The 24,858-nt window shown below is 40.1% G+C and overlaps 1 long non-coding RNA gene across 8 annotated transcripts in view; it reads left to right on the plus strand.

Moving 5' to 3' along the window:
- The window catches only part of SVIL-AS1 (SVIL antisense RNA 1), a 78,323-nt gene that overhangs the window by 13,063 nt on the left and 40,402 nt on the right, over positions 1-24,858 (plus strand). The gene's annotated exons all lie outside the window — the stretch shown is intronic.

Genomic DNA, 24,858 nt, shown 5'->3' on the forward strand with positions numbered 1-24,858 from the left:
TTATGGCCTTAGACAAATATTTACCCTTCTGATCCTCAGTTTTCTGTCAAAGAACTTCTGCTCATATCCAATTCCTATAAAGTGGGAGTACTCTAACCTGATATTACCAACATTAGGTTAGATTTTATCCTAATGTTAGGTATTAGAATATATCCTAACATTACTAGTTCTTCACTCTTACTAAAGTGCATGTTAGATTTCTTCAATGATTTTTTTAAATTGGCATGGTTGATACAAAGCATCCTTCTATCCAAATACTGTGCTCAGTCGCCTAAGTGATAGTTTAGAACCATACTATCTCTCTGTGGAAAGAATGCTGGGGCTCCTGGCTACACACTTTGAGTAGAAGGGAAAATACCCCTCTTGTATTTATGATGTTTTTTCTTTCTACTTGATTAAGAAGAAAGTACAAAAAGGTGCTTATTGAAGCATTGTCAATTTGGGAACAAGATTCTCAGGAATGAAATATTTGTGACTGTTCTCAGCATGAAAGGTAGAGAGAAGATTACTTGATCATTATGTGCTTATTTGAAAGTCACTTTCCTCCCATGCCTCAACATCTCACTTTTTAGAATGCACACTGAATGCCTGGAATCTCTTTGTTTTAGAAAAGACAAAGTTGCATTGTTTTTTTTTTTTTTTTTTTTTTTTTTTTAATTTTTTTTTTTTTTTTATTATACTCTAAGTTTTAGGGTACATATGCACATTGTGCAGGTTAGTTACATATGTATACATGTGCCATGCTGGTGCGCTGCACCCACTAACGTGTCATCTAGCATTAGGTATATCTCCCAATGCTATCCCTCCCCCCTCCCCCGACCCCACCACAGTCCCCAGAGTGTGATATTCCCCTTCCTGTGTCCATGTGATCTCATTGTTCAATTCCCACCTATGAGTGAGAATATGCGGTGTTTGGTTTTTTGTTCTTGCGATAGTTTACTGAGAATGATGGTTTCCAATTTCATCCATGTCCCTACAAAGGACATGAACTCATCATTTTTTATGGCTGCATAGTATTCCATGGTGTATATGTGCCACATTTTCTTAATCCAGTCTATCATTGTTGGACATTTGGGTTGGTTCCAAGTCTTTGCTATTGTGAATAGTGCCGCAATAAACATACGTGTGCATGTGTCTTTATAGCAGCATGATTTATAGTCCTTTGGGTATATTGAAAACTGGCACAAGACAGGGATGCATTGTTAAAAAAATAATATTTCTGGGGAAAAGGCTCAGTGCTCAACGGTTACTCTATAAAGAGATTTAAAAAGAAAGTCAAGGGAAGATAAGGAAGGTAGCATGGCTAACAACCTCGTGGGTTCTACTAGCATTATTTCATGCAAAATGTCATTAACCTTTATATAGGAGAGAATAAGTCTGGGAATCAACTGGCATCTAAACTCCATTTCTTGTTTTGTCACTGCTTCCCTGGTTGACTATGGAAAATACATTTGGTCTTTTGATACCTTGGTTTCAACAACTATAACATGACTTAAGAACTTTTATGCATGGACTTTGTAATAGTTATCTATTTCTGCATACAAATTACTTCAAAACTTAAATCGTCGTTTGAAACAACAAACACTATCTCACAGTTTCTGTGGGTCAGGAGTCCAGACATGGCTTATTGGGTAACCGCCTCAAAGTCTTACTAGGCTGTAATACAGTTATTGGCTAGAGCTGCTGTTTCATCTGAAGGTTCAATTGAGAGAGGATCCACTTCTAAGCTCACTCACATGGTTGCTGGCACAATTCAATTCCTCTCAGGCTATTGGATTAAGGGTCTCAGTTCCCTACTGACTGTTGGTCAGTGAACTTTCCTCAGTTCTTTGCCATATGGGGATCCATAGAACAGCTCACTACATGGCAACTGGCTTCTATCAAAGTGAGCAATAAGGAAGTAAGCAAGAGAGGTTTGCAAGACAAAAGCTACTATCTCTTTATAATCTAATCTCAGAAGTAGCATCATATCCCTTCTGCCATATTCTGTTCATTAGAAGTAAATCTCTGGGTCTAGCCATACTCTATTGCAGAGATCACACAAGGGTGTGAATACAGACACAGGGATTGTTGGGGCTCATCTTAGAGGTCGTCTCCCATAGAGTTAGCTGCCAATCTGAGGGGTCACAGGGACCCATGCATCTGGGCCAGAACACTGGGATTTCATCCCTTAAGCAGGACAACATTCATTCAGAAACATATATATATGTTTATATGTTTCTCACTAATCAAAGAGAGAAGCAAGGCCTGTCCCTGACGAGCTCCCTTTCTCAGATCCGCCCTGAACTGCCTAAGTTAAATCCATGTACCTTGACTAGGTGAACCATAGAGTCCAAGCCTAGAGTTGGGTCCTGGGTTTAATCCTGGTTCTGTCTTAGCCCTATGACCTTAGGCCACTTCTCTTCGGCTTGGTTTTCTTTGCATCAGGAAGTGTCGGATTAGATCCCAACAATGGTTCTCAAATTGGAGTGCCTGTGAAAATCACCTGGGGTCATTTGAAAAATTCCTGATGCCTAGCACACCCCTGACAAATTAAATCAGAAGATCTGAGGGTGAGATTCAGGCAAGAGGACTTCTTAACAGCTCCCCAAGTGATTTCATTGTTCAGCCAAGGTTGATAACTACTCATTTAGAAGATTGGTAATCCTAACTCTGGTACATGGGAACTATCTGAGGAGCTTTAAAAACAAATACAGAAGCCAGAATCTTAGGACAATTAAAATAGAAATCCCTGGGGGTTGGTCCCAGACATGGTGTCTTTCAAAGCTCCCCAGATGATTCTAATGTGTAGCCAGATTTGTGGACCCTCAGGTTTAATGATCTTCAAGAATCCTCTATCTAAGGTTCTAAGCTTGTCCGAATGGACTTGTAGAGCTATAAGCACGTGTACCACCTTCTCAGGAAGGTGGCCGCTCCAATGCTCTCTGACTCTAAAGAATGAAATGATTATTCCCACCCGAACATCCATCTTCTCTGGGTTTACCGTCCCCTACTTACAGTCCGTAAAAAGGTCACCCTAGACTTGACCTCAGTCTCATTGTGACACACACAGCACGCCAGCGTTCTTAACCTTTTTGGTTACAGAGACCCTTTTAGAAACTTCATGAAAATTGTAAGTCATCTCATAAGGAGGATCTTACATGCACATCAAATTGAGCATACAATTTTCATGGATCCCTAAACTCTTGATACAAAGTTAATTCTATCTCACTATAATATAAAAGTCAAAAACTTACATAACCCAGAAAAGCAGAATTTGCAACATAGTAGAAATAGACCAGAGTGAAAGTTCTAATCCTGGTTCCACAACTCACCAGTCAACATTTAGGAGTCACTGAATCACTTGATGCCTCAGTTTACTCATATGCCCAATTAAGAATTATAAAATCATGCACCACATAATGTCTTGGTCAAGTACAGATCACATATGACGATGGTTTCATAAGATAATACTGTGTTTTTACTGTACCTTTGTCACTGTGTTTAGATACACAAATACTTACATTATGTTACTATTGCCTATGGTATTGAGTATAGTAACCTGCTGTACAGATCTATAGCCTAGGAGCAATAGGCTATACCATACAGCATAGGTGTGTCACAGGCTCTCCCACCTTGGTTTGTGTAAGTACACTCTGTGATGTTTGCACACAACGAAATCGCCTGATGACACAATGCTCAGAATGTGTCTCCATCATTAAGAGATACATGACTACCTACCCCATCAATCTTGCCTATTCCAGAAACAAAGTGAAATTAATAATATAAAATTGGTTTGATCAATTTATGAATTACATTGTCATTGAAAGTAGGAGAACTAGACCAGGAGGCACTGGTGTGACCCTGGAGTAGATGGAACTGTTTGTGCATGTGTCTTTCTTACCTTCCATTCTCATAAAGAATTAGCACATTCCCCACATACACCCTGGCCAGACCGTGTCTTTGGGACTGCAGCACTAAGGTGTGTTTTTGTTTGTTAACTTATTCCCAGTGCCTGTGTTGACCAGGAGGCTTTGGGAATAAAGGTACATAAAGGTCTTGGAGCCTGGATGAGCCTGTGGTCAAGAGATGGCAGGCAGTGTCCTTGAATTTGGAATGTGACTCACACTCTGCCTGTAGGGGAAGAAAAGAGAGATCAGACTGTTACTGTGTCTATGTAGAAAGGGAAGACAGAAGAGACTGCATTTTGAAAAAGACCTGCACTTTAAACAATTGCTTTGCTGAGATGTTGTTAATTTGTAGCTTTGCCCCAGCCACTTTGCCCCAGCCACTTTGACCCAACCTGGAGCTCACAAAAACATGTGTTGTATGAAATCAAGGTTTAAGGAATCTAGGGCTGTACAGGACGTGCCTTGTTAACAAAATGTTTACAAGTAGTATACTTGGTAAAAGTCATCGCCATTCTCTAGTCTCAATAAACCAGGGGAACAATGCACTGTGGAAAGCCGCAGGGACCTCTGCCCTTGAAAGCGGGATATTGTCCAAGGTTTCTCCCCATGTCATAGCCTGAAATATGGGCTCCTGGGATGAGAAAGACCTGACCGTCCCCCAGCCTGACACCCTTAAAGGGTCTGTGCTGAGGTGGATTAGTAAAAGAGGAAAGCCTCTTGCAGTTGAGATAGAGGAAGGCCACTGTCTCCTGTCTGCCCCTGGGAACTGAATGTCTCGGTATAAAACCCGATTGTACATTTGTTCAATTCTGAGATAGGAGAAAAACCGCCCTATGGTGGGAGGTGAGACATGTTTGCAGCAATGCTGCTTTGTTATTCTTTACTCCACTGAGATGTTTGGGTGGAGAGAAACATAAATCTGGCTTACGTGCACATCCAGTCATAGTACTTTCCCTTGAACTTAATTATGACATAGATTCTTTTGCTCACATGTTTTTTGCTGACCTTCTCCTTATTATCACCCTGCTCTCCTGCTACATTCCTTTTTGCTGAAATAATGAAAATAATAATCAATAAAAACTGAGGGAACTCAGAGGCCGGTGCCAGTGCAGGTCCTTGGTGTGCTGTGTGCCGGTCCCCTGGGCCCACTGTTGTTTCTCTATACTTTGTCTCTGTGTCTTATTTCTTTTCTCAGTCTCTCATCCCACCCGACTAGAAATACCCACAGGTGTGGAAGGGCAGGCCACCCCTTCACTGCCCTTGGGAGCAAGGGCAGAGCACATGAACTCACCATGCACCAGTTCTGGTCCTTGGTGGGGAAAGGCTGAAACTGGAACCAGGTGTATGAGAAGCAATCTCCCAGACTTCATAGTAGCTGCCAGATTGGCCTCAAGGTTGGCAGAAACCATCCTACCAGTGAGTGCCAGGTGGTTTGGAGCGAGAAGGGAGCATAGCCTGGATTGCTTGAGGCCTGGAGTTTGAGACCAGCCTGGGCAATACATGAGACCCTGTCTCTACTTTTTAAAAATAAAAAGTATTAAGAAATATGAGGAGAAAGAAATCATATTTCATAGTTAACCAACGGGTTGAAGTTGCAGTGCTTTTAGTTATCAGTGGAGATTGTACTGCATATGCTATCTTCAGATTTGAAGGTCATCCCAGTACAAGAACTGAAGATGTTCAACTAATTTAGCTGAAGTGATAACAGCTCTGAGGCAAGAAGAGTATAAGTCTAGGTTACTGGATCAAGGGATAGGTTATTAGGGCTCTCCAGAGGGACAGAACCAACAGAATATATGTATATATAAAAGGGGCTTTATTAGGGAGAATTGGCTCACGATTACAAGGTGAAGTCCCACGATAGGCCGTCTGCAAGCTGGGTAGAGAGAAAAGCTGGTAGTGGCTCAGTCCAAGTCTGAAAGCCTCGAAACCAGGGAAGCTGACCATGTAGCCCAAGAGCCCCCTGCAAGCCATTGGGGCAAGTCCCAGAGTCCAAAGGTCGAAGAACATGGAGTCTGATGTCCAAGGGCAGGAGGAGCAGCAGCAAGCATCCGGCCTGGGAAGAAGAAAGAGAGCCAGAAGACTCAGCAAACTGCTTATCCCACCTTCTTCCATCTGGTTTGTTCTAGCCGCGCTGGCAGCCGATTGGATGGTGCCCACGCATATCGACGGTGGGTTTTCCTTTCCCAGTCCACCCACTCAAATGTCAGTCTCCTCTGGCAACCCCCTCACAGACACACCCAGAAACAATACCAGCTATTTAGGCATCCCTCAATGTCATGAACATACAAAAAGGAAAGTTTTGTGATACTCTGGGAGACTCAGGGTAGGGAGTGGTTCAGTGATATTTTGGGATCATGAAAGGTCTGTTCAGTTTCTGTGTTCCATGGGAGTGGTTCTGAGCTGTTTGATTTAGTCAAACTATTTTAACAATCTCATACCCAAGTCATTCTCTATCCTCATCCACAACTCCCACATGCAAGCCATGCATACGTCTACAGGTGTCACATGGATATATTTTGTTATTCTCATTTCAGAAGAATATATTAACAGCATCCTTTTTCATCTTAATGTATTTTGTATTCATATATGTTAATTACCATACTCGTGTTGGTAATTTTGGCTAAGACAGCATACTTTTGAGGACTGATATATACATTATTTTAATGATATTGGGAATCTATGAATAAAACAAATGCATCTATCTAGTCATGTTTAGAGGACTTGCCTCCACCATTTATACAGCAATTAATTATGAGTAGTCCACTGGATCATTGTTAAAATCTGATTTCCTCTGAATTCTATCTGGAAGAAACTCTCCAAAATTTGTGACATATGAATGGTATTGCCTTGAGTCTCCAGAATTTTTGTAAGCTTGTCTCTTTTTTGTTCAATTTCTTTGGTCTATCCTGCAGTTCCCAAGATGGGGGAATGTCATTTGGAGTGTGACTCGCACTCTGCCCATGAACTCACCATGTACCAGTTCTGGTCCTTGGTGGTGACATTTTAATGAAAATCCTACCTTTTAACATGCACTGAACTCAGTTCTTGAAAGCCAGGTCATGCATTTTCTAGAACTGCGAAAATTGCTTGGTGCTTTTCCATGGTTAGCAATCACTTAGCATTAATACTTTAATAGTAATTGTGTTTCCATGTGGGTAGATGCAGCATTTTAATGAAATCTCCAGATTGTAAGGAAAGTGCATCTAAAGTCCAAGGAAAATATATTTAACAATATTTTAAAGGAGAAAGGAAGAAGAGATTTTGTTAGCTTTCCGAAATTTTAGTCGTTTAAGAGTGACCTTATTAAAATAACCACAAGATGGCATCAGTTTTCTATTTTTAAAGAAATATGGTAGTGGCCGGGCATGGTGGCTCACGCCTGTAATCCCAGCACTTTGGGAGGCCGAGGCGGGCGGATCACGAGGTCAGGAGATCGAGATCATCACCAACATGGTGAAACCCCGTCTCTTCTAAAAATACAAAAAATTAGCCGGGCGTGGTGGCGGGCGCCTGTGGTCCCAGCTACTCGGGAGTCTCAGGCAGGAGAATGGCGTGAACCCGAGAGGCGGAGCTTGCAGTGAGCAGAGATCGCCCCACTGCACTCCAGCCTGGGCGACAGAGTGAGACTCCATCTCAAAAAAATACATATATATATGGTACATTGGACTGAGGATTTCTTTTGTCTTTCATTTTTGCATGTTCCAAGTCCTAGTTATAGCTGCCTCTTGAGTTTATCATTCATGAGCCATAAACCTAGTAGCAGCTGGATCACATTTAAAGTCGATAGATGGAGTAACCAATTTTGGAATTCCATTCCTTGGACCACTTCCACATTAAGGAGAGAATAGCTCAGCTGCTCTCCTAAGCATTTTAGATGAAATGTCAGAGTTGGGGGTTTATACAACGGAGCAAGCCTAAACCCAGGCCCTCTCGCTGTCTATATCTATGATATTTCTTTCCTTCCTTCCTTCCTTCCTTCCTTCCTTCCTTCCTTCCTTCCTTCCTTCCTTTCTTTCTCTCTTTCTCTTTCCCCTGCCTCCCTCCTGTTCTTCCTTCCTTCCTTCCTTCCTTCCTTTCCTTCCTTCCTCCCTCCCTCCCTCCCTCCCTCCCTCTCTCTCTCTCTCTCTCTCTCTTTCTTTCTTTCTTTCTTTCTTTTTTCTCTTTTTCTTTCTTTCCTCCCTTCCTGAAATGTCAAGAGTTGGGGGGTTATACAACAGAGCAAGTCTAAACCCAGGCCCTCTCGCTGCCCGTATCTAGGATATTTCCTTCCTTCCTTCCTTCCTTTCTTTCTCTTTCTTTCTTTCCTTTCTTTCTTTCTTTCTTTCTTTCTTTCTTTCTTTCTTTCTTTCTTTCTTTCTTTCTTTCTTTCTTTCTTTCTTCCTTTCTTCTCTCTCTCTCTTTCTTTCTCTTTCTTTATTTTTCTCTTTTTCTTTCTTTCCTCCCTTCCTGAAATGTCAAGAGTTGGGGGGTTATACAACAGAGCAAGTCTAAATCCAGGCCCTCTCGCTGCCCGTATCTATGATATGATATTTCCTTCCTTCCTTCCTTCCTTCCTTCCTTCCTTTCTTTCTTTCTTTCTTTCTTTCTTTCTTTCTTTCTTTCTTTCTTTCTTTCTTTCTTTCTTTCCTTCCTTCCTTCCTTCTTTCCTTCCTCCCTCCCTCCCTCCCTCCTTCCCTTCCTTTTTTCCTTCTTCCTTCCTTTCTCTTTCTTATGTCTCTCTTTCTCTCTTTCCCTCTCTCTCCTTCCTTCCTTCCTTCTTTCACAGGGTTGTACTCTGTCACACAAGCTGGAGTGCAGTGGCATGATCATGTCTCATTGCAGCCTCCAACTCCTGAGCTCAAGTGATCCTCCCGCCTCAGCCTTCCAAGTAGCTGGGACTAAAGGTGCATGCCACTACACCTGGCTAGCTTTAAAAAAAAAAAAGTGTTTTAGAGATGTGGTCATGCCATGTGGTTCAGGCAGGTCTCAAACTCCTGGACTCAAGCCATCCTGCCACCCTGACCTCTGAAAGTGCTGCTATTACAGACCCCAGCCACTGTGCCCGGCCTGAGGGTATTTCTTTATTACACATCAGCAGATATTTTTTTACCTCCTTAAAGCACAGCAATTAAATGTTTACAATTACTCAACAAATCAGTCACTACAAAGTACTAAGTTCTATAGTAAAACATGTATGTGTTTCAGGATCTGGTTTAATCTACTCTCCTGATTCTAGATGATCTATTCTGATTATTTTATTTCAGTAATTCAGATATCCAGATTACTAATGCTTGTGTGGGTTTAGTAGGTCAATTGAAAAAGGCTACCATTCATTACTCTCCTTTCAGTTTTTCTGTATCATTCTATAAAAGGGATTCAGCTTTTAGGAAATAAAATCAGGCCAAATGTTCTGAGCTCCTCTGCTATCTTTGAGTTACTGTGCAACCCTTTCCTGCTTGTTTCAGAGCTCTAGACTCTGCTATGGGTACAGCTGTAACATGACCTAGAAGCGACATGGCTTATTTTAAAGTAGAATGATTTCTAAAACTACTGAATTTTCTTGGTTATATTTTATTTTTATTTATGATTTTATTATATTATTATCAGAAAATGGTTTATTTAATGTCAGTTCTTTGGAATTTGTTGAGATATCTTTTCTGGTCTAATATATGTAAATCCATATGTACTTGAAAATAATATTTACTCCTTTGTGTACAAGATCCTTTCTCCATAAATGTGCTACACATTTCTGTATCTTTTATCTGCTTTTCCTATCAATTTCTGAGTGAGAGAGATGTAAAATCTTTTACCACGATTGTGAATTTGTTAATTTATCTTTGTAATTCTGTTTGTTTCCATTATATTCTAGGATATTTTGCTTATGATCTTCTTGGAAATCTGTCCTTTTCTCAATATCAAATGTCTCTCTTTACCTCATTAAATATTTGGTACTGAAAAATATCACAATATCAGCACCATTTATTACTTTTTGTGTCTTTTTCTATGCCTTGATTTTTAAACATTTAGTATTGGTTTGTTTTAGGTATGTCTCTTATAGCAGGATTTAAAAAAATTTTAAAAACACCTAATTTTAAAGTTTGTCTCCTAATCGGTGTTTTATACCCATTTGAACTTTTTGAGACAGGGTTTTGCTGTTGTTCAAGCTGGAGTGCGGTGGTACTATCATAGCTTACTGCAGCCTTGACCTCTCAGGCTCAAACAATCTTCTCACCTCAGCTTCCCCTGCAGCTGGAACTACAGATGTAAAATTTATTTTTATTTATTTTTTGTTTTTGTAGAGACAGGATCTCACTATCTTGCCCGGGCTGGTCTTGAACTCGGGCTCAAGAGACCCCCCTGCCTCAGCCTCCCAAAGTGCTGGGATTACAGGCATGGGCCATTGCGCCCAGCCTATGATTTATTTTTGGATTTATTTCTATTATCCTATTTTGTGTTGTCTACCATGACTTTATCCCCACCTGCTTTTTCTGTTGTTATTCTTTGCCCCTTTTGCTGGATTAGGGTGGTTTTCTTTATTTCTGTGATTTGCTTAAAAAGTTACTCTTGAATTTTTAACGTGTATGTCAGCTTCGTATTTCTCTAACAAATTCTAAATCTACTTAGTAAATTCTATTCTAAAATGAACAAAAATATTTATAATATTTTTATTTTTTGCTGGAACACCCAACTTCCATGTTACTGTTATATAGAATTTTAATTCCACTTTGATTTTGAAACACTACATGAAAGTTACTGTTTATTTTTTTCAGTGTTAATACTTGATTTAGTTCAGCAATATGTTTTTGAATTGATTTGCTCACCATTGTATTTCCCTCCCTGCTTGAATCAGTTTTGTTGCTGGTGCCCATTCTTCAGTAGCTTCTTTGCAAATGTCAGTGAGGCAGAAACTCTTGTTTTATTTAAATGTCTGGATATGTGTTTAATTATCTTTTTTCTTCAATGGTAGTTTATTATGTGTAGAAGTTTAGGTTCAGAGTTCTTTACTTTGGGTACATTGAAGATATTTCCCCATGATCCTTTAGCATTCATTTTTGCTTATTTTTATGAGTGCTCTGCTACCCACATGATAGCCATTTCTTTACAGTTAATCTGTCATTTAAATTTTGAAATTTTGAAATTTTGTGGATACATAATAGGTGTATATATTTATGGAGTACATGAGATATTTTCATAGAGGCATATAATGTATAATAATTATATGAGGGTGAATGGGTTATCCATCACCTCAAGCATTTATCCTTTCTTTGTGTTACAAACAATCCAATTATGCTCTTTTATTTTAAAATGTATAATAAATTGACTGTAGGCACCCTGTTTTGCTGTCAAATACTAGATCTTATTTACTCTACGTAACTATATTTTTGTACCCATTAACCATCCCCATTCCCACCCCCCACCCCTACTACCCTTTCTAGCCTCTGGTAATCATAATTCTACCCTCTATCTCTATGAGTTCAATTGTTTTAACTTTTAGCTCTCACAAATATGTGAGAACGTGAAGTTTCTCTTTCTGTGCCTGGCTTATTTCACTTAACATAAAATGTCCTCCAGTTCCATCCATGTTGTTGCAAATGACAGGATCTCATTCTTTTTTATGGCCAAATAGTACTCCATTTTGTATATGCACTGCATTTTCTTTATCCATTCATCTGTTGATGGAGACTTAGGTTAATTCCAAGTCTTGGCTATTGTGAGTAGTGCTTCAATAAACATGCAAGTGCATATATTTCTTCAATATATCAATTTCTTTTCTTTTGTGTATATACCCAGCAGTGGAATTTCTGAATCATATGGTAACTCTATTTTTAGTTTTTTGAGGAACTTCCAACTGCTCTGCATAGTACTAATTTACATTCCCACCAACAGTGTACAAGGATTCCCTTTTCTCCACAGCCTTGCCAGCATTTCTTATTGCCTGTCTTTTGGATGTATGCCATTTTAACTAAGGTGAGATGATATATCAGTGTACTTTTGATTTACATTTCTCTGATGATTGGTGATATTGAGAACCTTTTTATAAACCTGTTTGCCATTTGTATGTCTTCTTTTGAGGAATGTCTCTTGAGATCTTTTGCTGATTTTCTAATCAGATTATTAGATTTTTCTGATTAAGTTGATTGAGCTCCTCATATATATTCTTGTTATTAGTCCCTTGTAAGATGGATAGTTTGCAAATATTTGCTCCCATTTTTTGGGTTGCCTCTTCTGTTTCCATTGCCATGCAGAAGCTTTTTAACTTGATGTGATCCCATCTGTCCATTTTTGCTTTGGTTGCTTGTGATTAGGGGGTATCACTCAAGAAATCTTTGCTCAGTCCAATGCCCTGGAGAGTTTCCCCAAAGTTTTCTTTTAGTGGTTTCATAGTTTGAGGTCTTAGATTTATGTCTTTAATCCATTTTGATTTGATTTTTGAATCTGGCAAGAGATGGGGGTTTAGTTTCCTTTTTCTGCATATGGATATCCAGTTTTCCAAGCAGTATTTATTGAAGAAACTGTCCTTTCCCCAGTGTATGTTCTTGGCACCTTTGTGAAAAATGAGTTCAATGTAGATGTATGGATTTGTTTCCGGGTTCTTTATTCTGTTCTATTCGTCTGCGACTGTTTTTATGCCAGTACTATGGTGTTTTGGCTACTATAGCTCTCTGTGATTGAATTTGAAGTCAGGTAATGTGATTCCTCCAGTTTTTGTTGTTGTTGTTGTTTATATCCCGCCCCCCCACCACACTCAGGATAGCTTTGGCTATTCTGGGTCTTCTGTGGTTCCATATAAATTTTAGGATTGTTTTCTCTATTTCTGTGAAGAATGTAATTAGTTATTTTGATATGGATTGCGTTGAGTCTGTAGAATGCTTTGGGTATTATGGACAGTTTAACAATATTGTTTCTTCCAATCAATGAACATGGACTATCTTTCCATTTTTTGTGTCCCTTTCAATTTTTTTCATTAATGTTTTATAGTTTTCATTGTAGAGATCTTTCACTTTTTTGGTTAATTCTTGGCATTCTATTTTATTCATAGCTATTATAAATGGGATTACTTTTTATTTTGTTTCTTTTTCTGATTGTTGTTGGCATATAGAAATGCTACTGCTTTTGTATGTCGATGTTGTATCCTGAAACTTTACTGAATTTGTTTTTCAGTTCTGATAGTTTTTTGGTGGAGTTTTTAGGTTTTTCCAAATATAACATTATATCATCTACAAAGATAATTTGACTTCCTCCTTTCCAATTTGGATGTCCTTTATTTATTTCTCTTGTCTGATTGCTCTACCTAGGAGTTCCAGTAATCTGTCGTTTTTTAAATGAAGGCTTTACGATTTTTCTCTGTGTTCTGGATACTCTGATGTTTCACTGTGACCTTTCCATTTTTAATTTTTAACTAATGTATTAAGTTGAGCCTACAAGTTCAAGGCTGCAGTGAGCTATGATTGCACTACTTGCATTCCAGCCTGGAAAACAGAGCAAGACTCTGTCTCTTAAAAAAAAGAAAAACGAAAAGTAGTTGTCTGTGGTTCCCTAAAAATAGCTTCAAAACGCTTGGAGTTTTCTGTGTGATGGGAATGGTTTTGTTTTACTGATTAGATGACTCACTGTGGGCCATTAGATAGCTTTAGGATGGGAACTGCCCTCCAAAAAGACCAGGAATAGGATTAGAGGGTTAGAACTTTCAGCCACTTGCCCTCTAGGGCGGGAAAGTTTGGAGATTGAGTTCAGTTATGTGACCAATGATTTAATCAATCATGCCTAAGTAATAAAACTCCAATAAAAACTCTGCTCATGGAGACTTGGGGGAGCTTCCTGGCCGGAGAATACATCAATGTGCCGAGAGCGTGTCATAGCCTGACTGTATTGGGAGAAGCTCTTGTCCTGGACTCTCCCAGACTTTGCCCTATGTGTATCCTTTAAAATAAAACTGTAATAATAAGTATAGCATTTTCTTGAGTTCTTTGAGTCATTCTAGTAAGTTATCAAACCTGAGGAGATAGTGAGAACCCTGAATTTGTAGCCAGTTTGTCAGAAATGTCAGGGGCTGGGGACCCTACTTGTAACTGAATTTTAAAACCTGTAGAGTTTGATGCTAAGTCTGGGTGGTTTGTGTCAGAATTGAATTCTAGTTCACACCTGTCTTAGTCCATTTTGTGCTATTATAAAAATACCACAGACTGAGCAATTTATAGTGAGCACAGATTTATTGGTTCATGGGTCTGGTGGCTGGGAAGTCCAAGATTATATACCTTGCACATAAACTGTTTTTTCAATAGTTTCACATTCAGGATGCCTAATTACTTTTAAATTATACAACATTTCTTGCATAAATTCCCTTTTATAACTTTTTTTCACGACTTTTACAGACAATTCTTTGGCATGCCTCAGCTTTCTTACTTGTTGCAAACATCCCTTTCTTTAAACAACCAGTTAATTTATTTTAGGATAAGGATTTACCATATAACATTCCTTTTTACATAAATTCTCCCCCCCCCCCCTTTTTTTCTCAAAGATGATAACCATTCTTTTCCAAAGCAAACTTCCTTCATGTCTGTGGACTAGACTGTCTAAGGCTACAAGATTAGAAGTTAGGCTAATACATGTTACACTGTTAACTTTTAGCAAATTTACTTTTGTTGAATACCTTGTAAGTTTGGGATTTCAATTATTCTTTGCTATTAATAAGACTTTGTTCAGTCCACATTAACTTAGAATTGGTATAGATGGCTCTTCCCTGATTCTGTAAGCACTTTAAGGCTTGGCTGAGTGCAAACAGCTCATAAGTTTGAGCAGACCAATTATTAGGCAGTTTTCCTGACTCTGCTTCTACAAGAGTTTTCTTATCACTTACTGAATACCCATTGTGTCTTTTTCCCTCAGTCACCTGGGAGGAACCATCTATCGTCCTGTCCTGAAGGGAGTTCCTCCTAGGTTTGGTTGGACCTTTGTATGGTAATTAAGATTTAGATTTCCCTGTTAGGAAACCTGCTGGGTTAAGGGAATTTTCAGTGGTTAATATTACATCGTCTTTTTCTAACAGAATAGCCTTGTACTTTAAGGTTCTTGAGTCTTGAGTCTTGAGTCTTAAGCTACATTTTTGCTTTTTTTTTTTTTTTGACTTAGGATAGTTCTGACCTGATGAGGTGTGCTCACAATGAGGTTTCCTCTAAAAGTTATTTTTCTACTTTTTCTGTTAGCAAAGCAGTTGCCGCTACAGATTGAATGCATTTGGGCCATTCGCTGGTTACTGGGTTAAGGATTTTGATTAGGAGGGCTACCGGTTGTCAGTGGCCTCAGTGCTTTCAGGCTACGCCCTTGTTCACACTGACAACAAGGTGGCATTGGAGTGTTATAGGGTCATGGAGAAGACCTTCAATTATCAATTATAGGTTTTAAATTTACCCTGGCTTTTAAAGGAATAGGATACACTGTCTTCTCTTTACTACTTCTATCTCTCTCTTTCTCTCTTTGACTTTCTGTCTCTCTCTCTCTCTGACTCCCTCTTTGTCCCTCTGTCTCTTCCTCTCTCTGCCTCTCTGTCTCTCTCTCTCTCTTTGATTCCTCTTTGTCTTTCTGTCTCTTCCTCTCTCTCTCTCTTTCCTCTCTCTCTCCCCTCTCTCTCCCCCCCCCCTCTGTCTCTCTCTCTCTCTCACTCTCTCTTTCTCTCACTCTCTCTCTCTTTCTGTTTCCTCTCTGCTGGTCTTTCCCTGCCTCTGCTAGCCACTTATGCTGCTGTTCCCTCCTCTCCTTCCCCTTCCCCTAGGGGAGGGACCGGCGGGAGAGGAGCTACTCTTTCTTCCCTCGAGAAGAAAGGAAAGGGGGATTCTGAATATTTTTCTTGCTACCAGAGGTTTGTGTGAGGTTCAACCCCCTCCGTGGGGATTTCTCACCTCTTTTTGAGTTTCAACCCCCACCCCCCATGGGGATTTCTCACTTCTTTTTAACCTCTAAGACATCCCGACTAAGGAGTACTTCACCGCCCCCCACTGCTTTCTTTCCCTAGTCCAGCCTAAGGAATGCTTTACCACCTCTGTGGTTTCTCTTTCCTTGGTATGTCCTAATCAAGGAATGCTTTACTACCCCGTGGCTTTTTCCTTAGTCGCGACCACCAAGGAAATACTTTACCGGCTCCTGCAGCTTCTCCTTCCTTGGTCTGTGCACAGAGTCGTGGCTGCAGTATATGAGGATCCTTTAAGCTAGGTTGCTGGCCAGTTTCTTTCCACGTTGCTGAGAGCTCAGGTTATTCCTGGCACTGGGTGGGTCATGATTTCTCACCCCTGAGGCCATCACAAGTGGGCAGGGTGCGCCTCCTCACGAGAGAGAACCAGAGACCGGCCCTGGAAGGGAACTTAATCATGGGCGAGCCCCCAAATTGTTATAAATAAAGTTTCGGTGCTGCAAAATAAATAGCTCTCAAATATAAAATTTTCTTTTTAATTATCAGCAAGGCAAGTTACTTCTATAGAAGGGTGCGCCTTTACAGATGGAGCAATGGTGAGCAGCACACTTGGACAAGGGAGGGGAAGGGGTTCTTATCCCTGACGCATGTGGCCCCTGCTGCTGTGTCATTCCCCTGTTGGCTAGGGTTAGGCTGCACAGGCTAAACTAATTTTGATTGGCTAATTTAAAGAGAGTGATGGGGTGGTGAGTGGTTTGGCAGGAAAAATGGTTATGACAGAGCAGGTAATTGGAATGAGTCAGGGTGGAGCAGGTAATCAGAATGAGTCAGGGTAGAGCAGGTAATCGGATTGAGTCAGGGTGGAGCAGGTAATCCACATGAGTCAGGGTGGAGTAGGTAATCGGAATGAGTCAGGGTGGAGCAGGTAATCAAAAAAGATTGCTTTACAAGGAAGTTAAGTTTAAAAGTAGAAGGCAAAGAATTGAACATACTGACATTGATTCTTTGAAGAGAAATTTAGAACTCATATCCAACAAGTCCATTAGATTGGAGTGCTAAAAAATGGGTCCCATGTGACCTGCATGGTGGTGTGGATTTGTAGTCCTAGCAACTCAGGAGGCTGAGCCTGGGAGTTTGGGGCTGTGGTGAGCTATTATTATGCCACTGCACTCCAGCCTGGGTGAGACCCTGTCTCTGAAAAAAAATACACACACACACAGACATGTAATTTATTATATGATCTGGTGGATAAAAGGCTTAAAAATTGGAACTATAAAGAGCAAAACATGAATTTTCTCTTTGCCCTAGACCACTCCTCCTTTCAATTTTCACTCTGTTCCTGAACTTTCCTATTTTCACATTGTTCCTCAATAGTAACCATTGTTAGCTATTTAGTGTGAATCCTTCCCAAACTCTGTTTGTCAGTATAGCCACACACACACACACACACACACACACACAAACACACACACGTGCACCCACAGTGCATCTGGATCACTATATATATATATATATATATATATGATTATGATTGTCAGTTTTACACATCAACTTGGCTAGGGTACAGTTTCCATCGTTCAATCAACACTAACCTAGGTGTGTTGCTGTAAAAGCATTTTTGTAGATGTGATTAAAATCTATATTCTGTTGACTTTGAGTAAGGGAGACGATCCTAGATAATCTGGATGGGCCTGAATCAATCATTTGAGAGTTCTTAAGAGCGGAGCTGAGTCTTCCCTGAAGAAAAAGGAATTCTGCCTGTGGATAGCAGCATCAGTTCATGCCTGATAGTTCCAGACTTCTCTCCCTGATGGCCTGCTCTATGGTTCTCAGACTGCCTAGCCAGCCTGACAATTGCATACACATATTCCTTGCAATAAGTCTCTTAATATGTATTTCCTACTGGTTTTGTTTCTTTAGTTGAACTATGACGGATATATATATATATATATATATATATTTCTGTAGCTTGCTTTTTCACTAACAATGCGTCTCAGAGATGGCATATTTAACTGCTGCGTAATGTCACAAAATGTCACACAAATAAGGATATAGCATAGCTCATCTAATCATTCTGTTATTGGTGGATATTTGTTTTTCCCAATTTAAAAAATGGTGGTAAAATATACATAACATAAAATGTACAACCTCAACCATTTCTAAGTGTACTGTCCAGTGGCATAATGTTGTACAACCATCACCACCATCCATCTCCAGACCACTCATCTTGCACAACAGAAACCTTGTATCTCTTAAACCACTCCCCATTCCTCCCTGCCCCCAGCCCCCATCTAACCATCATTCTCCTGTCTATCTCTGTGATTTTGACTACTCTAAATAAATATCTCAGATAAGTGAAATCATACAGTATTTGTCTTTTTGTGATTGGCTTATTTCATCTAGCATGATATCCTCAAGGTTCATCCATGTTTTAGCCTATGTCAGAATTTCCTTCCTTTATAAGGCTGAATGACATTCTATTGTACCACATTTTGCATATCCCTCAAACATTGATGGACCCTTGGGTTGCCTCCATGTTTTAGCTGTTGTGACTAATGCTGCTATAAACATGGGTGTATAAAGCTCATGGCTTTCATGAGACCCCACTGCGCATCCTTGACTTAAGGGTTTGGTCAGGGGAGAGCAGAGCAGATTCTTTGGTGCCTATTCTGCTGGTACTGTAGAAGGGAGAGCTGCATGACATAAGCCCTATTTTTTCTTAACATTTTCATTGCATGGAATTTGTATGTACAGTAAGAGTTGGCATAAGCCAGGGCTTATATGCTTTAATGAAACTGAAAGAATCTCAGTCCAGAAAGGCTGCTAGGTTACTTGCATAGGTGTTGCTTTATTCTGTGGGGCCAGTGGCTCTTTTGGTGACATACCATGTAGCAGCTGGAAAACATTAATTACCATTTTCTGTACCTGTCAAAAATGTTTTATAATCATTACCCGAATTATATGCATGTACATATATGATTTTATATATGTATGTGTGTATATACACACACACACATATATGCATATTGTAGTAAATCACAGTTGTGAACCCCAAAAATCTGAGACAGGTCTCAGTTAATTTAGAAAGTATATTTTGCCAGGGTTGAGAATGCACACCTGTGACACAGTCTCACGAGGTCCTAATGACATGTGCCCAAGTGGTCAGAGCACAGTTTGATTTTACACATTTTAGGGAGACATGAGGCCTCAGTCAACTTAGGTAAGATGAACATTGATTTGGTCTGGAAGGGCGGGACAAATCGAAGTGGGAGGGGGCTTCCAGGTCATATGTAGGTAAGAGACAAATGGTTGCATTCTTTTGAGTTTCTGATGAGCCTCTCCAAGGGAGGCCATCAGATATGCATTTATGTCAGTGAGCAGAGGGGTGACTTTGAATAGAATGGCAGGCAGGTTTGCCCTAAGCAGTTCCCAGCTTGACTTTTCCCTTTAGCTTAGTGATTTGGGGGCCCAAGATATTTTCCTTTCACACAGGAAAGAAAATATTCCTAATAAAGTGAACTACTGGTGTGAAATGAAGTAGACTTTAAAACTAAAATAAATATGAGTTGGATCTTGAGCTGAGTAGCAAGTTTAAATTAAAAGCCATACAGAAATAAATAACAGCAATTTGATTTTGCTTTCTTTAATTGTCACACAACAGCTTTATATATTTTAGTATCTAAAAAGCACAGGCAATATCTTAGACTTCACAGGTCACTTCTGAGAGCTGGTGGCAATTTATCCTAAACACAAACTGATTAACCAATAAGAATATTCTGAAGTATTCAGTCTGGTTATATTGTTGCAGCTAAGCTGCAAGATCTCCATTTTTGACAGTTGTGTTTAGTATGAAAATAATCTTTGTCATATTTTCAGGACTTTAAAAAATTTGTGAATTACTGTTGACATTTTTTAACATCAGAGTGAAATAGATTTTTTTTTACCTAAAACTGAGGAGGTTACATAAAAGAGTTTAAATGGTTTATTCCTGTTGATTGGGATCTGTTATTCCTTCTTTACTTCTCTACTTTTTCCCCCTTTTTATTTTTAACAAAGAAAGTTTCACAACATTGGAGGCTTTATTTTGGTCTATTTTTTATCTTGGTTTGCTAAATGTACTTTCTTTTGACTATTCAGTAGAAATACCTGTCTTGAGTCTAAAACCTGTTGATGTAAAAAACAAACAAACAAACCCCAGACTGTAAAATATTTTAAAGAGGTTTATTCTATACTAATATGAGTGGCTGTGGCCCAGGGAACAGTCTTGAGAGCTTCTGAGAAAGCGTGCCTAGGCAGTTGGGTTACAGTTTGGTTTTATACATTTTAGGGAGATAGGAATTGCAGGTAAAATACTAAATTAATATATGGAAAGTCTATATTCGTTCAGCCTAAAAAGGTGGGATATCTTGAAGTGGGCAGTGAGGTGGGGGTGAGGTGGGGTGGGATTACAGGTCCTAGGTGGATTCAAAGATTTTCTGGTTGGCAATTGGTTGAAAAAGTTAAGCTTTGTCTAAAGATTTGAAGTCAGTAGAAAAAAATGCTTGAGTTAAGATAAGGTGACTTATGGAGACCAAAGATCTTGTTTTGAAGATGAAGTCTCATAGGTAGCAGCCTTCAGAGAGAATGCATGGTAAATGTCTTTTTTTCAGATCTTAAAATATATCAGACTCTTAGTTAATCTCTCCTAGATCCAGGAAAGGCTTGGAAAGGGAAGGCCTGGCTGCATTCATAGAGATTCTCTACAGATGCAAATTTCCCCCACAAAAGACAGCTTTGTGAGCAATTTCAAAATATGTCAAATAAATATATTTTGGGGTAAAATACTTTGATTTCTCTCGCGGTCTGCCATGTATCATGCAATGCTATACCAGAGTCAGGTGGGAATTTGGTATCTTATTGCCACAAAGAGTCTGTTTTTTCAGTCTTGTGATCTCTATTTAATGTTGATGCTGGTTGGTTCTGCCTAAACTCCAAAATGGAGGGGACATAATCAGGTATGTCCAAACTCTCTTCCTGTCATGGCAGGAATTCAATCTTTCAGATTTCTCTGGGGTCTTCTTGGCTAACAAGGGATCCATTTTGTCAGCTGGAGGGTGCTTAGGAATTTATTTTTGGTTTACAAACCTATTAAACTTTCAGTGGCCATCAGAGAAATGTCCTCATCCTCATGGCTATCTTCTTATAATGTTTACAGTACCACCAGATTATTAATTTACTTAAGGTAATTAGAACTCTATCAGATAAAAGTGAAAGGAAATCTTTTTTAAATAAAAGCACTTTCAAAAGTAATTGATTAAATATATATTGTGGAGTCTTACAAAACAACTTAGCTTCTGGAAGGTCAGGGGTATAGCTGGGCCTTGGGAACACCTGGAACCAAGCCTTGAGTTCCCTCAGGAGTCTCATGGTTTATCCATTTTTCTGCCTGCCCTGGCTTCCTTTTCTTTGAAAACAGAGGAATTTTTCTCCAAAAGTCTGCTAGTAGACTTGAGTTTGAATTATAAGAGTTTCTTGATTCCAGTTCTAAAATTCTAGGAAAAGGACACTGATTGGCTTAGCATGGGCCATGTGCCTGCCTATAGACCAATTAAGTACTACAAGGAAATGAATACAACAGTAACAATATCTTGGCTCCGGTGACCACTCCTGGTGGTCAGTCAGTTGTATCCTGGAAGTAGGGTCATAGTGTTGCAGAATATTGCTCCTTAGTTCAGCTAAAACTGGGTTCTTGTCACACGACCAGGAAAATTTAGGCACGCACACACACTGAAGGGTGAGTAGAACAGGATTTTATTGGGTGAAAAGAGAAAAAAAGAAAAAAAAAAAACTCAGCAAAGCAAAATGGAGTCCTGCTAACAGGCCTCCCACCTCACAGATTGAATCGCAGGCCACTGCACAGGAACTGAAGAGGCCAGGCTCCTCCCACTGCCTGTGGCTCCCCCCCACCTTTTCCCAAGTGCACATGTGGGCATGCTCAGACAAGGCCCTGGGCAAGTTCCCTCATCTGCATAAAAGTATCTAATGTAAACACTTGTGGGGCAGGTCGGAGATTCTCCAGGGTCCCTGTATTAGTCAGGGTTCTCTAGAGACAGAACTAATGGAATATATATATATATATAAAGGGGAGTTTAGTAAGTATTAACTCACATGATCACAAGGTCCTGCAATAGGCCATCTGCAGGCTGAAGAGCAAGGAGAGCCAGTCCAAGTTCCAAAACTGAAGAATTCAGAGTCCTGTGTTTGAAGGCAGGAAGCATCTAGCATGGGAAAAAGATGTAGGCTGAGAGGCTAGGCCAGTCTCTCTTTTCACATTTTTCTGCCTGCTTATATTCTAGCCACACTGGCAGCTGATTAGATGGTGCCCACCCAGATTAAGGGTGGGTCTGCCTTTCCCAGCCCACTGACTCAAATGTTAATCTCCTTTGGGAACACGGTCACAGACACACCCAGGATCAATACTTTGTATCCAGTCAAGTTGACACTCAGTATTAACCATCACAGACCACTTAACCATTATAACCATGTGTGAGATTAGCCAAATTACTTCATTTTTCTGTGCCTCCATTCCTTTATCCGTAAAATGGGATTAAATTGTTCCCCTTTCATAGAGTTGTTTGAGGATTTTATGAGAAAATGCAGCATTCTTTGTAATAGTGCAAACCTGGAACCTGGAAACAATATAATAGAAACACTCATTACTGTATTAGGCTGTTTATGCATTGCTATAAAGAAGTATCTGAGACTGGATAATTTATTAAGAAAAAGGTTTAATTGGTTTATAGTTCTGCAGGCTATACAGGAAGCATAACACAGGCATCTGCTTCCAGGGAGGCCTCAGGAGGCTTACAATTGTGGTAGAAGGTAAAGGGGGAGCAGGTATCTCGCATGGTGGGAACAGGAGGAAGAGAGAGAGAGAGACAGAGACAGACAGAGAGAGAGAGAGAGAGAGAGAGAGAGAGAGAGAGAGAGAGAGAAAGAGGTGCCATGCCTTCAAATAGCCAGATCTTGCAAGAAGTCACTCATTATTGCGATAGCACCAAGAGGATGATGCTAAACTACTCATGAGAAATCCACCCCCACAATCCGATCATCTCCCACCAGGACCCACCTCTGATACTGGGGATTACAGTTCAACATGAGATTTGGGTGGGAACACACATCCAAACCATGTCAATTACCAAGGGACAAGTTAAAGAAGTTGGTGGACTCAAGCAGTTGACCGCTATGCAGACAAAATATATGTCCCCAGCAGAGGGCAGGCTTCTACCTACAACACATGTGATCATTTTCCCCGGTCCCTCTAGTTTGCAGAGGTTGAGGGCAGAGCTCAACCTGGAGTGTACAGCCTGAGACAGAGGGACCATGCTCCCTGTGTCCTAATGGGAAAGGACTCTTCTTGGGTAGAAATGTAGTTACTGAGTTTTGCTTTCTCCTATAGAGGAAAGATGAGCAAAAACAGGGAGATGGAGACCTGGTGAAGAGAGGGTGCAGAAGTGGCTAAGTGGGGTGATGGTGGTGAGGAGATTTGTTGGTGAACTACAGCCCGTAGGCCAAATCCAGCCCACCGCCTGATTTTGCATGGCCCAGGAGTGAAGAATGATTTTTTACATTAAAATGATTGAGAAATAAATTTTTTAAAAGAACAATATTTCATGACTTGTGACATTATATAAAATTCAAATGTCAGTATCCATAAATAAAGCTTTATTGGAAGATGCCAGACTCATGCACTTATGTATCGTCTAGGGCTGTTTTCCCCTGTGCAGAGTTGAAGAGTTTGGCAGAGACCACATGGCTCCCAAAGCCTAAAGTATTTACTATGTGATCCTTTACCAAAAAAGCTTGCTAACCCCTGCCTTATAGTATAATGTATGATTTTTTTGAAGAGTTAAACAAATTTAACATTTGCTGAGCTCTCTTTCTTGCCCAGCATGGCTATGGGCTCTTCTCATGTATGTAATATAATTCTGTAAACAATCCTATAAGGCAGGTACCATTATTATCTTCATTTCACAAATGAGAAAATTGAGACACCTCAGTAATTTTCTCAAAGTCAGACCATTAGTGAGTAGAAAAGCTGGGATATGAATCTAGGCTGTCCAGTTCCAGAGCAATAATGTGTAATATCTAGTTTCATTTTCTGGCTTGTTAGGTGATGTAATTCCTGCCAGTTATTTCTCAAAATGTCAGTATCTCTATGCAAACCATCACTTACTTGATCAGCCTTGCTGTGGAGAAAGGGATTGGGGTGTGCCTACACTTGGGGCACAGTGGGAGAGGACGCAATGGGAGGGGACAGTAACCTGGAGGAGTGGCACCAATTCACTCCTGGATTTTGCATCTGATGGCATCACAGAAGGGAGGAAATCATTGCACCCGCGTGTATGTGTGGTACATACATAGCAAATGTATAGAAGGTTTCACCCCAAACTGCAAATACTCTTTGCTCTTAAGGAATGAAATGGATAATGTAGAATTGGGAGATGTCTACATTTTAATCCTACATTGTTTGAAATTTTAAATGAAGTGAAATTTTAATGCTGTTTTTAGAAACCCGCATAATATGGTGAAAAGAACTCTCTGGCCTGGTTTTCCCTTTTGGGAGGCAAATCGGCTTAACTCTCCTTTAAGTGTCTTAGATATTGAGAAGAGATAGATTATTTAATAATCCATTTCCCCAGGATGGTGCCCAGAGGGAAAGAAGATTATCCAGCCACCAAGAAATGCCCAGATCCTCTATTTCAGATGAACCTGACTTAATCAGGAGTGGAAGGCACCCTTTCGTCTTTTCAGAGTTACACAGGGGCCCTGGGTTTCCTGTTAACATGAAGATGTTCATGTGCCCCAGTCCCAGCTTGTCCCACGTGACTGTCCTGTGGCCTGTTAGGAACCGGGCCATACGGCAGGAGGTGAGCAATAGGTGAAACAGGATTACTGCCTGAGTCTCGCCTCTTGTCAGGTCAGCCGTGGCATTAGATTCTCATAGGAGCGCAAACGCTATTGTGCACTGCACGTTCCAGAGATCTAGGTTGCACACTCCTTATGATAATCTAATGCCTAATGATCTGAGATGGAACAATT

The sequence above is a fragment of the Homo sapiens genome, chromosome 10 (genome assembly GCF_000001405.40).
Source record: "Homo sapiens chromosome 10, GRCh38.p14 Primary Assembly".
NCBI lineage: Eukaryota > Metazoa > Chordata > Mammalia > Primates > Hominidae > Homo > Homo sapiens.